This window comes from Homo sapiens, chromosome 14, assembly GCF_000001405.40.
Source record: "Homo sapiens chromosome 14, GRCh38.p14 Primary Assembly".
NCBI lineage: Eukaryota > Metazoa > Chordata > Mammalia > Primates > Hominidae > Homo > Homo sapiens.
In genome coordinates this window covers 39,311,495-39,325,431 of record NC_000014.9, presented here as the reverse complement: position 1 = coordinate 39,325,431, position 13,937 = coordinate 39,311,495, and the positions used below count along the sequence as shown (strand labels likewise).

General features: G+C 36.4%; 1 protein-coding gene across 61 annotated transcripts in view; it reads right to left on the bottom strand.

Annotated features, from left to right (window-relative positions):
• Nucleotides 1-13,937, bottom strand: part of MIA2 (MIA SH3 domain ER export factor 2) — a 154,608-nt gene that overhangs the window by 63,091 nt on the left and 77,580 nt on the right. For 38 of the 61 annotated variants that reach the window (NR_148722.2, NR_148723.2, XM_024449592.2 and 35 more), the window contains 6 exons: nt 11,991-12,092; nt 10,633-10,693; nt 9,714-9,749; nt 7,421-7,488; nt 6,141-6,223; nt 4,376-4,504 (listed from right to left, as the gene is read on the bottom strand). Coding sequence is in view for 58 of the 61 variants with exons in the window: in XM_024449592.2 (XP_024305360.1) it covers nt 4,376-4,504; nt 6,141-6,223; nt 7,421-7,488; nt 9,714-9,749; nt 10,633-10,693; nt 11,991-12,092 (479 nt within the window). In the remaining 3 variants the exon portion in view is untranslated. Of the gene's footprint in view, nt 1-22; nt 1,164-4,375; nt 4,505-6,140; nt 6,224-7,420; nt 7,489-9,713; nt 9,750-10,632; nt 10,694-11,990; nt 12,093-13,937 lie in introns of those variants that run through there. The other 23 variants (NR_148721.1, XM_024449595.2, XM_047431398.1 and 20 more) reach the window with 3 other exon arrangements.

The window sequence follows — 13,937 nt, the reverse complement described above, 5'->3', positions numbered from 1 at the left end:
CATGCCACTGCACACCAGTCTGGGGGATAGAGCGAGACTCCATCTCAAAAAAAAAAAAAAAAAAATTTAACATTCAATAAAATATATTAATACCTCATTTATCTGTCATTGAGAGGGAAAAGGGGGGTCTTCTCAAAATTATATTGTCCAGAAAACAAAAGCTTATTATTCTCAAGGAACAGCTTTAAAAACATTTTTTTTTTTGAGACAAGGTCTCACTCACTCTGTTACCCAGACTGGAGTGCAGTGGTGCGATTCTCAGCTCACTGCAACCTCCGCCTCCTAGGCTCAAGCAATTCTCCCACCTCAGCCTTACAAGTAGCTGGGACAACAGGCATGTGCCACCACGCTTTGTTAATTGTTGTATTTTTTGTAGATACAGGGTTTTGCCATGTTGCCCAGGCTGGTCTTGAACTCCTGGGCTCAAACAATCCCACCACCTTGACCTCCCAAAGTACTAGGATTATAGTTGTAAGCCACTGCACCCAGTGAACAATTTTTTTTCAATAGAAGCCTAACTAAAATAGCCAGGCGTGATGGCTCATGCCTGTAATCCTAGCACTCTGGGAGGCCGAGGTGGGCGGATCACCTGAGGTGAGGAGTTCGAAACCAGCCTGGCCAACATGGTGAAACCCCATCTCTACTGAAAATACAAAAATTAGCTGGGTACAGTGGCACGTGCCTGTAATCCCAGCTACTCGGGAAGCTAAGGAACAAGAATCATTTGAACCTGAGAGGAAGGGGTTGCAGTGAACCGAGATCGTGCCACTGCACTCCAGCCTGGGCAACACAGTGAGACTATCTCAAAAAAAAAAAATAAAAAAAAAAGAAGTCTAACAAAAATGCTTACTCTATTTCAGTACCTCCTTTAAGAGAACAAAATTAATTTTAACTTTTCTTGGTAACTTGTACAAATCAGCATAAGCATTCACATTTAATATATAGTAATCTTTAAAACAAATTTTCCATCTACTCCCTTTAGTAGAATCAGATCAACTGGCTTTTACATCAGGAGGTAAACTATCATTTTTCCTTATTAGTATACATTCTATTAAGTTCCCCAAATCTTTCCTTCTCGCTTCTTCATCCTAATAATTAGCTCATTAGAAGAAGAAGGCTGGGAAAGCAGAAAATGTGCAAGTCGTCATTTAGGCTGAGTTCATCTGGAATGAAGCACAGAGATTTAAAGGAGACATTCAGAGGCTTTCCTTCCTGATTGCTTACTTCCAGAAGACCAAAGCTACAGGCCAACTGACTACCCAGTGAATATTACAAACCTAAAAGTTCTAATGGTTAAAGTTTTCTATTCAAACCCAGTTACATACAATTTACTCTAAGAAGAAATTGTTTTACTTGTACTCAGTATTATTCAAATATACCACTCATCCAAACTTCAAATTAAAAAGATAATAAAAGTAAGGAAAAATAACAGGTACTCTCCATCCTCCTTTGGTGGATCATAGAAACTTTTAGTTCGGATCAACTCTGTAAGACCCGATGACAACTTACCTAGAACTTCTGTAGCTTTTTAAACAAATGGTAAAACACCCTTGCAGATAATCTAAACACACTGTATCTTTAAATTAAATAGGAGAGGAAATAGAAGAGGAGAAATCAAATGTAAATTTTAATCATTCCAAATATTCAATTGACTACAAGCAATCCTTGACTTATGTAATTCAATTTCCAGTGACTCATATTTGCAGTTTAGCCAATTATACCCTTATTTCTAGGGCACTGTTTTTTCAGACTGCTAGCTCCTACTCATTTGTGATGTGTGAAGTTTAAAAAATAATGCTAATTAAGATTAAATTAATGAAACGGGATAAAATTGAATAGAAAGCATCAAAACTGTAATGGCAAGTACTATTTCATGTAGCGGTTTCAATTATATTTCAATCATGTTTATGTTAGTGTACAATATGACATGATACAAAATACATTTCTTAGTGTAAGCCAAGGTAAAAAATGGAGGGGTGGGGGTGGACTTAGAGAACTAAGTCATAAGCTTGCAGCAGACATGTCAATGTCAAAATCAGTCTCTTTCCTGAAGTGCTCAATGCAAAGCCTCCCTAAGGCTCTAAGTATCAGTCTATAGGGCAGTCCCTTTCCCTAGGAGCTTCCAGTTCAAAATCAACACAAGCAGAGGCTCTGTAGGGACCCCAGGCTGTGGCCCAATCTACTGGGGGGACTGGGAGGTGGACAGGAACAGTTCTAAGTGAAGCAAAATGAGGGTGGAGAAAGAGGATACAAACAGGATATGGGCAAAGGGAGAATATCTCATGACCATACAGTAGTAAGTTGATTTTCTCATATTATTTGAAAGCAATTCCAAAGGAAGAGTTCCAAAAATATGTGGAGTAATGGCAGCTTCAACTAACAAGTACACAGACTTCCTGAGATACTATTTAGATGAGTAATACCCATCTGAGTATATGAACTTTGATTTGTTGGATTTAATTTGGTGTTTTTATTTAGATTCATTACTTTATGTTCCTATCTCAAATTCAATCTGTTAAAATCACTGATACAAAGGGTGGGAATGTTTCACTGGTGAAGAATGCCATCAGCTCTTATAAAACACATACTTGGAACTGAAAATGTAAGACTTTTGATTTTGAAATAAATAAGGCCCTATATCTTTGAATTTCGCCACAAATTAAGATAAAACTTTAAAGGAACTTGACAAAGAAAGTATGGTGAGAGATCAAAAAAGGAAAACTCCAGGTACACAGGAGTTTTCAAAGGTACTAGGGCCTTTTGTAACACCAGGGTGATGCTGATGAGATAAATGTAGAATAGCTAATGATTAGGCCTGAGGTACCTATAAGGGGGTAACAGCAGACAATTGTGGCTTGGTTTCCCAATGTACTTTTTTTTTTTTTTTTTTTTGAGACGGAGTCTCGCTCTGTTGCCAGGCTGGAGTGCAGTGGCACTATCTCGGCTCACTGCAATCTCCGTCCCCCGGGTTCAAGCAATTCTCCTGCTTCAGCCTCCCAAGTAGCTGGGACTACAGGCGCCCACCACCACACCCAGCTGATTTCTGTATTTTTAGTAGAGACAGGGTTTCACCATGTTGGCCAGGATGGTCTTGATCTCTTGACCTCATGATCTGCCCCCGTCGGCCTCCCAAAATACTGGGATTACAGGCATGAGCCACCACGCCCAGCCCCCAGTGTGTTAACAAATGATGCAGACCACAGTAAAGGTTCCCATCAAAAATCTGCCTACAAGAGCACTACTGATTTCCTTGAGTCTATAAAAAGATTATTTCACTTTCTAATTTTCTACAATAAAAAGATCATGATACTAATGTAAATTTTTTTAATTCCAAATTCTAATGCTTCATCAAAATATAATTTTATGGTGTTTCACACTTGTAATCCCAGCACTTTGGGAGGCTGAGGCGGGTGGATCACCTAAGGTCAGGAGTTCGAGACCAGCCTGGCCAGCCAATGTGGCAAAACAACCTTTTGTATTTTCTACTAAAAATACAAAAAAAAATTAGCCAGGTGTGGTGGCATGTGCCTGTAATCCCAGCTACTCAGGAGGCTGAGGCAGGAGAATCCAAGCTACCTGGGAGGCAGAGGTTGCAGTGAGCCGAGATCGCGCCACTGCATTCCAGCCTGAGCAACAAGAGTGAAAACAGTCTCCAAAAAAAAAAAAAAATTACATATATATACATACACATAGATAATTTTTATGCTAGGTTATACTGTTATTATATTTCATGCAGTCTTACAAAATTTTATATTATATCATGTAATATATAGTTTTTAAGAAGTCAAAAATATGGTTTAAAAAGATACGTTATCAGGCTAGGCGTGGTGGCTCACGCCTGTAATCCCAGCACTTTGGGAGGCCGAGGAGGGTGGATCACGAGGTCAGGAGATCGAGACCATCCTGGCTAACATGGTGAAACCCCGTCTCTACTAAAAATACAAAAAAAAATTAGCCGGGCATGGTGGCGGGCGCCTGTAGTCCCAGCTACTCGGGAGGCTGAGGCAGGAGAATGGCGTGAACCTGGGAGGTGGAGCCTGCAATGAGCCAAGATCGCGCCACTGCACTCCAGCCTGGGTGAAAGAGCAAGACTCCATCTCAAAAAATAAAAATTAAAATTAAAAAGAAAAATAAATAAAAAGATACACATCAAGTCCTTGATCAAAATGTTATCTAATATAGCACGGTTTCTAAGAGAAAAATACATCAAAATTAGATGTCATAGAGCTCCTTTTCCAAATAAAAGTTATCTACAGTAAGTGCAAGGAATGCCTGTATTTTCCAAATATTTTACAGATCATTTTTAAGGTAAGTTGAGATGAAAATATAAAGTAAGGAAGAAATCTAGAGTAATAAAGATGTTTAAACAATATACCTCTTCCTCCTCCCCCTGGAAGCAAAGGTGAGAGTCTGAGTGGACCCTCCAACAAAGTTGGAGGAGAGAGAAAAGCTCTTGTTTCAGATGAAGGCCAACCCAATGGTGAGGGACCATATGGGGAATGCTCTGGAATAATTAAAACAGCATATTTAAATTCATAGTTTCACTTAGCTACACTACAGAGTTAGAATCCCATTTCGACAATTACCATCAGGTCATCCTATTGCCAATTTAAGTTTAATCTATGTCCTGAATGTATCCTTTGATTTTGCTAATATAGAACAGAATTAAATACAGACCCTGGTGTTTTCGATATTTGTCTATCAAATAGACACTTTAAGCAATAAAAACATCAACGAACTGGGAATAAAAAGATCATGATAAATAATCATTTATATTAAGCAAAGGATATTGGAGATATATCTTAGAGTTATAGGAGCATAAAGTTAGATTTTTTTTTGGTTTGTTTTTACTGGCAGTATGCACCCAGACATTTCAGCTGGTGAGAGTTGCAACATAGAAGTACTCAGTTTAAATCAGGGCCAGATAGGCTGTATTGGGCCATGAATTGTTTAAATAATGCTCAGATTATGAAGAGGAGAAAAATGCATAAAATACTCTGAAGCAAGATCACAATTTACTTTTGATTCATTACCAGTAAAAAGTCAGCTTACAAATACTAATTTATCAACTAAATCACTTTATCTATAATCTATACAGCCAAGACACCTACCACTTTACAAACTTCACCACTCTCAAATAATGGTTTTGTTTCCAAAGTCAAAAATCAAAAACAAAATACAAACAAAAACCACCAAAATAACATTTTTAAAACATGTTAAATTTAAAACATGAGTGTAGCTGGTATAATATTCAAACCAGCTACAAGAAAAGATCAAAGCATTAGTTACCCTTCTTGAAATTTTGTGTTGGATTCAGACAAAAAAAAATCCTTCTATATACTTCACCCCAATCCAAACTTTGTTACTACCTGAAATTCGTAATAATCTAATATTTTTTAAATGTAGAAACAGACTTTCATTTTAATGAAATTTTACTCTCAAAAGTGATTTTTATAACTTTCCAAGGTTATTAAAATGGAATTCTACCTATATATAGATTTTTCAGTACCTTAGAAGCTTAATTCCAATTCAACCAAAATTATTATGAAAAAATTTAAACTGTTTGCAATAGTTTGAGATCACTGCAGACCCTAACTCAACAATGGACAGAAATATTAAATATATCTTACAAAAAAAATTGGTCCTCCCTTGAGGGTAATTAAAGCAATCAAACCTCAGACTGAGTTTTTCCCACATTTTAAATTGATACTTTTAAATAATTAGAAACTATTTTTTAATTATTAAACAAGCAAATTCCAAAGTATAGTTAATATATAAACAGTCACAATGCTAGTCCATGTAAGCACTCCTTATTCATTCAATCTCACAGAAAATTGTTAATGAGTACCTTACTATGTGCCAAGCACCTAGCTTTTCAAGGAGCTCAAAGTACTAAATATGTATCATCTTACAAAATCCCACTGAGAAATAAAAGCAACAGTAATTTTCATTACTGCACAGGAAACAAAACCTAGAAGCTTGTGAGTCTATGAGAAAGCTTAGTCTAGAACCTTGGTTCTAAAATCTAAAATATTTATATAAATAACAGTGTTAACTTACACTAATAGAAACTATATGTGCAATATATATATATATGTAAAATATGTATTTTAAATGAGGGGTAAAAAAAAAAAGACTACCTCTGCCAAATGCTGTATTTGGAACATCGAGTGCATAAGGATCTTTTTCTAAAAGTTCAAATTTAAGCTCTGTTTCAGTTAATCTGCAAATAAAGAACAAACATCTCTAAGTTACTCATCCAAGAGAAGCACCACAAGAAAAAATGCCTCTACCAACTACAAGCTGCTCTTCACTATTTTAATATCTACACAGAACAAACAGATCCTCTAAAATTATTCTGACCAAAACACCTTTATCTCCCACTGCTTATTAACTAGGGTAATCAGTTTCTTGCTGCCCTAGAGATAGTGATGTTATGTGGAGCCTTACAATTGTTTTATTTCTTCTTCAAAACTAGACTACCATGAGTACTATATCACAGAATCCAAATTTTTGAAATACAAGAGTCCTCCAAGGTCAACCAGTCTATCATTTTACAACTAAGGAAACTGAGGCTAGGAGTTTAAATATTTATTCACAATGAAAGTGCCTGGATTAAGACACAGGGTTCCTGGCTTTGAGTCATGTATGCTTTCCATTGTAACGTGACACTCATGATTCCAGTTACAACACTGGAAATCCCATTAATTTGTCCTACTATCTTACTCGTAAACTTTTTATCCTACAAATGTGACATTTTAAAAGAATCTTATTTCTAGTTCTTAATCATGAGATATAAAACATTTAATAATTTGATTTTAATTTCTGAGACTAGAAAAGACAAGCAAGAGGACTAAAAACTAATATTGGATAATGTTAACAGTACATTGTGACAAGAAATTATAACACTCTAGGAAGACTGTTATCATCTTCACAGAAAAGCACTTATTCTTCCCTGCTATTGTACATTGTAGACTTTTATTCTACCTTTCATTTTATTATTGTAAAACAATGTCACCCAATACTACAAAACCAGGAAATGAGAGAAATTAATGAATATTATCCTATCTACTTATCCATTAAAAGAGGCTGATATTCTGGGCATTACTATGTCAGAGAGATTCACCCCTTCTCTTTCCATCCATTTTTACCTCCATCCATCTACACTGGTTTAAAAAAAATTCTAGTTATACTTTTTGCAGAATAATCTGTTAACAGTTTCCTCCAAGTGCCACTTCAGTGACCTAAGACAAGTACTTCAACAGACAAAACAAACTAGACATTCCTAGTAAAACTAATAGATATCTCACAAGATATGCTGGATTCACTGCAAGTTTTCTTGCTTAACCTTATAAAAGTATTACCTAATTAACGAAATAACAGAATAACTAATTTTAAATGTTCCCACTAAGATACTTACTTTTGTCTGTTGTGAGCATTTTCTTTCCTTAAATCATTGAGGTTTCTTTCAGCATTCCGAGCTGCCAACTTGAAGAAAATAACACATTTTAAAAATATATTTATATAAACTTAAAAAATAAGCATAAATATGTCAATATAAACATTCATTAAATTTCTTAAAAATATATATATATCACAACAATGGTATACAAATCATAATCACTGAAGTAAGAAAAAGTGTAAGACTTAGACTCTGAAAGATCAGAATTTCTATACCCACTCTTTACCCTCTAGTCCATGACCTTCGGCTGTTTCCTCATCCATAAATCTGGGATTATAGTACCAACTTTACAGTTACTGAGTAGATTGAACAAGTAATGTATGTAAAAGGCCTTTAAGTACAGTGCCTAGGACACAAGAGATTTTAATAAACATCCTTTTTGTGTAGTTGAGACTTTATTATCCCCCTACCCTCAAATCTCTAAAGTTGACAGTGTGAGCCATGTCCTTGTCCCCATCCACCCTGGGGTCAAACGTTCAGAGCCTCATGGACTCTAAACTCAGCCAGCCTGGGTTCTATCTGATTGGGTGATTAGTTCATTGAAATGAACACTTTTTCCCTAAAAAACAAGTTAAACTCTGTTACCATGTGACTTTTCAGAAACTAATATGAGCCTCTCCTATTAACTGTCTTCTGCCCAGACCCGTCTGCTCCTGTGGGTAGCTCAGCTCTGGAGCGTGTGACAAGCTACTGCTCAGTGTCACTTTCATTCCCTCTACCAATCCCAATTCAGCTAAAAACACACCTTGTCTGTGGAGCTTCTCCCAAGTGACCTTCCTGATATGTAATTCTTTAGCCTGTGGTTCCTTGGGTTTTCCTGCCTGCCCTGTGCTCTAGAACACGTGAGGACAGATATATCCTAGGTGTCATCTGGCTGTCCCGATCTTTATATCCAACTGCTTAACTGTCTCTTTGTAGCCTCTACCCATGTCATCTGAGATAACCTTTATCTACCTTAGAAGACTTCACTAAATACGCAGCGGTGAGGGAGGGATGTGGAATTGTTACCTCTGGACCTCAGCATATTCCCTTCTTGGCCATTGTTGTTTGTGGTTTTCATTCTAATCTTTACAAGTCAGTGTCTCTGTAAGATCTGTAAGATGTTCCTGCTGCCCTTCCAGAAACAGCCTGGTTACCGTCTTACCCTGGGACTGTGTGTGGACCTCTCCATCTTCAAAGAGTAATCTACACCTAAGTATTTTACAAGTGGTGAGCAGTGGTTAACTAAATTCATCTCCAAGCCCAGCTTAATTTAGTAACAAATTTTCATTTGAACCCTCAATACTAAAGCATACAGAATCTTACAACTGAGGAGGACCTAGACATTCACCACACCTAATCTCTCACCCTAGGCTGGAATCTCCACTCCAACATGTCTAAGAAATACCTACCAAGCTTCACTACAACAATAACAACAGTTAACATTCACTGAATGTATACTGTGTGTCAGGCATTTGGCAACAACCTTACATGAATTTAATCATCACAATAACCCTATGAAATAGGTACTACTGCTATCTCTATCTTACACGTAAGAAAACTGATGATAGGTGATGAAGCCAGGACATGAGCCAAGACAGCCTAATTCCAAACTCCATGTATTCACCCACTGTGCAAACTGCCTACTGCTGAAGACTCCTAGTGACAAGTACTCCAAAGGCCAGCTACTACAACAGTCCTATATGTTACAGTGTCTTTCTTATAATTAGTCAAAATCTGCATCCTCATCACTTCCTCACACAGTTAGTTCCTCTGGAGCACAAATACACTATTTCTCATGATGACCCTTTTCTTAATGTGTACCCAGTAATTCAACACTGAGGATCAGGTAACTGAATTTTATGACTTTTAGAACTAGAAGGGGCTTCTAAGATCACTTAATCTAATCCCATTGTTACACAAATGAGGAAATAGGCCCAAAGAATTTTAAGTAGCTTGTCCACAACTAATTAGTGGCAATCCAGTGCCCTGGAACAATCAGTCCATGAACATTATATCACCTTCCCCATGGAGTATAAACTCCTTTCAAAGAAGCAATGTGATAAAAGCAAAGAAGGAAAAATCAGATTTTTCTAATAACTGTGTTGGAACAAACTAGTTCACAAGGAACATAATTTCACTACTTGTAAAATTAAAAGAAACTGATTTTTTAGAATACTATATTTATTTTCATCTAATTTAAATAAACAACGTATCTTCTGAAAAAAACATACAATTTGACAAAAGAGACTTAAGGAAATTTTAAACTTACCCAATTATCATGTGCTTTTTTCTCATGGGAAATAATCTGAAAAAGAAAGTAATTAAAATGCTACTGACCATTATTTTTCTTAAGTAAAAAACATTCACATCTACCACTATGATGTAGTGCACAACTCAAAACTATCCCAAGCATCTCTGAAGAGTAGGCAACATTTTTAAAGCAAATTTTCATGTATACATAATCTATTATATTTTAAAACAAAAACTGAATGTAAAGACAATTAAATTTTTTGTTTGGTAAACTTTTACTTTATGTAATAATCAACAGGAATTGCCAGTTAACATATAACTAGCCTGACTGAGTATGAGACCCCACTGTTGATACACATTTATGTGATGCAATCTACCTTCCCAAAGCAGCAGGAGATACGGCAATTTTATTTATTTTATTTTTTTTTTTTTTTGAGACGGAGTCTCACTCTGTCACCCAGGCTGGAGTGCAAGTGACGTGATCTCAGCTCACTGCAACCTCTGCCTCCAGGGTTCAAGTGATTCTCCTGCCTTAGCCTCCCAAGTAGCTGAGATTACAGGCATGTGCCACCATACCCGGCTATTTTTGTATTTTTTTTTTTTTTTTTTTTTTTTTTAGTAGAGACAGGGTTTTGCCATGTTATCCAGGCTGGTCTCGAACTCCTGACCTCAAGTGATCCACCCACTTCGGCTTCCCAAAGTGCTGGGATTACTGGTGTGAGCCACTGCACCCAGCCAATACAGCAATTTTAAATAAGATTTCTTATCTCAGAATCTTTGGCTCCTGGGAAATGTCCCACAGCCACATGCAACACCTCAAAAGAGGTATACAACTGGTCAAGTAATTATATTCCTGCATCAATTCAAAGAAATCAGAATTGTTTTAAATTATATATATATACACACACACACACACACACACACACATATATATATACCTGCCCTTGATAAGAATGAATAGTTCTCTCCAATTCTTCTTCAAGATCTTTGGCTCGCTTTCTAAATGGAACGAATAATTATTCTACTATTAACATATAACATGAAATGACAGAACATACTCTCTACTAAAAAAATATTTATTAGAAAACCCAGAATGCTCTACTTCATGAAAAAAAAAAAAAAAAAAACTCCAGAACTCCACATTAAGAAATAATCACCTCTGACAGGTTCTACAGTATATTTTTTCCTAAACTAATTTTAACATTGATTACAACTTAATACTACTACTTGAGTTTACCTAAACCCAAAGTCACATAAATATTTACGTGGTATATTGTGTTGTTTTTTTTTTATTTTTAAGAAGAATGATCCTAGAAGATTTATTCAGATGTTGGTCATTTTTTTTTTTTTTAAACAGAGTGTCGCTCTTGTTGCCCAGTATGCAGTGCAGTGGCGTAATCTCGGCTCACTGCAACCTCCACCTCCAGGGTTCAAATGATTCTCCTGCACCAGTCTCCTGAGTAGCTGGGATTACAGGCACCTACCACCACGACCAACTAATTTTTTGTATTTTTAGTAGAGATGGGGTTTCATCATGTTGACCAGGCTGGGCTCGAATTCCTGACCTCAGATGATCCACCCACCTTGGCCTCCCAAAGTACAGGGATTATAGGCGTGAGCCACCATGCCCGGCCAGATGTGGGTAGTCTTAATAGAATTCTAGGAAATTAGCAACCACTGTGAAGTAAAATGTTACTTGGTACTTTTGTGAGATTAACAAGATAACTTATTTTGGATAAAAAGCAAGCTTGCTCTTTCTGAGGTAAAATGAAGTATCACAACTATTTGGGATACTGCTGAATCTTTTTTTCTCTATATTTTCTATTTCCTGGGATCTAGTAAGGATCAAACCAAGGTAAAATCTAGATTTATAGTCTTTTAAATACTTCCAAATGCTCTATGGCTCACTCTTCTTTTTGTGGCACACCTATTGATTCACTAATATTACATACATTCTTCTCAATTTGAACCAATGAGGAAGGACCTTAAAATTAATATCTATTCATATTGACACTAACATAAAATAGAATTGTCCATATTCAACTTTGAGAGATTTTAAAAATCACACAACCTGAAAGAAAAACATTTTTCCTCTTTATATTTTCTGTATAATTGCTCAAGACCAAGAAATCTGAATGAAAAGTGATGAGACAAAAATATATTATTTTTTTGTCTGTACCACCTGTCAGATTTTAAAATGTTTTCTATTTTCATTTGATTTATTATTTTTCTGGCATTAAGTTTTTTAGATACTCTTCCCATTCCAAAAAAGAAACCAGAAAAATGTATTTAATACCTATAGGTCTCCAGCTCTTCAGTGGCATGGCTGATCTTTTCATCTACTTTAGAAAGTTTCTCTTCTTTCTCTAACCGATAATTTTCCTCTACTGTTAATTTCCTTAAAAACAAAAAATGTTATAATTCTCTTAATACATGTCAAAAGATAATCAATTCTATATTTTTAATTGTGAAAAAACTGGTGATTCCTGTCAAATGATTTCTAAAATACCACTGAAAACATCACCTACAAGGAAAAAAAAAGTATCTGTGTAAATATTCCTGGTGTTGAATTTAATATTATAAACCGAAATTGTAAAGCATTGTGTCTAATACAGAACTACTAATAGTTTCAAGAGTTTTCTATATAAATTTATCTTAAAAATAGGATCAAAGATATATTTAATAAAAACTATTATGACTATCACTTATCAAGTCTTTCTGTATAAACAAGCATTACATTTGCTAGTAAGAAGTCACCAATTAATAAAATGTGTTTCGTTAATTTTTATATTGGTTAGTGATTAGGCTTCCAGGCAAGTAAACACACACGCACACACACACACACACACAATTATAATTACAATGAAACCAAAGTAAACAGTAGTAGTAGCAGTCCTATTTACTACATCTAATTCTATTAATAATAATAATAGATAACTTATTGAGCCATTAGTATGTGCCAAAAACTGTTCTCAGACTTCTACATGTATTATTTAATTACCACAACAGCTCTACAAGAAGGGTGGTACTGTTATCCCATCTTACAAAAACGACAATGAAGCACAGAGAAATAATTAAACCAAAGCCTAGAGCTCATAAGCAGTGACTCTTTTATGCTATAATACCCATGTTGTTTCATTTCACATACTATCATTAATATATCTTGGTCACCCAAGAAATATTTATTGAACACCACAGGAAAACACATTTGGAGTCCTAAATGGATATCTTCCCTTCTTCATGAACTTTGAGAAGAACAAGACAAACTACTGAAGAAGTCTTGCAGTATGGCAGTAAATATTTTGTATTCTACACACTACATTACCTATTGCTTAGAAAGCATTCCCTAAGGTCAATCACTTTCATGGATGTTATAAGAAAATAAGTCATCTCCTTAGGAAAAGCACGAAAGTGCGACGGGCATGGATATGGAAGAGAGATGTGTTTTTACAGACTGTGTAGACTGAAGATAGCCAGAAATTCTTTGACACCTCTCCTGATAAAAGGTGAGGTTTATGTACCTTCCCATTGAATTTGGGTGGGCCTATTAATAATAGAAATTACACTGTGAAAGGAGACCTGATGATATGACTTAAAAATATCATATCTTGGTCGGGTGCAGTGGCTCATGCCTATAATCCCAGCACTTTGGGAGGCAGAGGTGGGCAGATCATGAGGTCAGGAGTTCGAGACCAGCCTGGCTAACATGGTGAAACCCCATCTCCACTAAAAATACAAAAATTAGGCAGGCATGGTGGCGCGCACCTGTAATCCCAGCTACTCGGGAGTCTGAGGCAGGAGAATTGCTTGAACCCAGGAGGCAGAGGTTGCAGTGAGCCGAGATCGTGCCACTGCACCCCAGCCTGGGCGACAGAGCTAGACTCTATCTCAAAAAAAAAAACACACACACACAAAAACCATCATATATATTTAAAGTAACACATCAAGGGCCAGGCACAGTGGCTCATGCCTATAATCCCCACACTTTGAAAGGCCAAGGTGGGCAGATCACTAGAGGTCAGGAGTTTGAGACCAGCCTGGCCAACAAGGTGAAACCCCACCTCTACTAAAAATACAAAAAAAAATAAATAAATAAGCCAGGAGTGGTGGCGCACGCCTGTAGTCCCAGCTACTCGGGAGGCTGAGGAAGGAGAATGGCGTGAACCCGGGAGGCGGAGCTTGTGGTAAGCCAAGATCACACCATTGTACTCCAGCCTGGGCATCGCAGCAAGACTTCATCTCA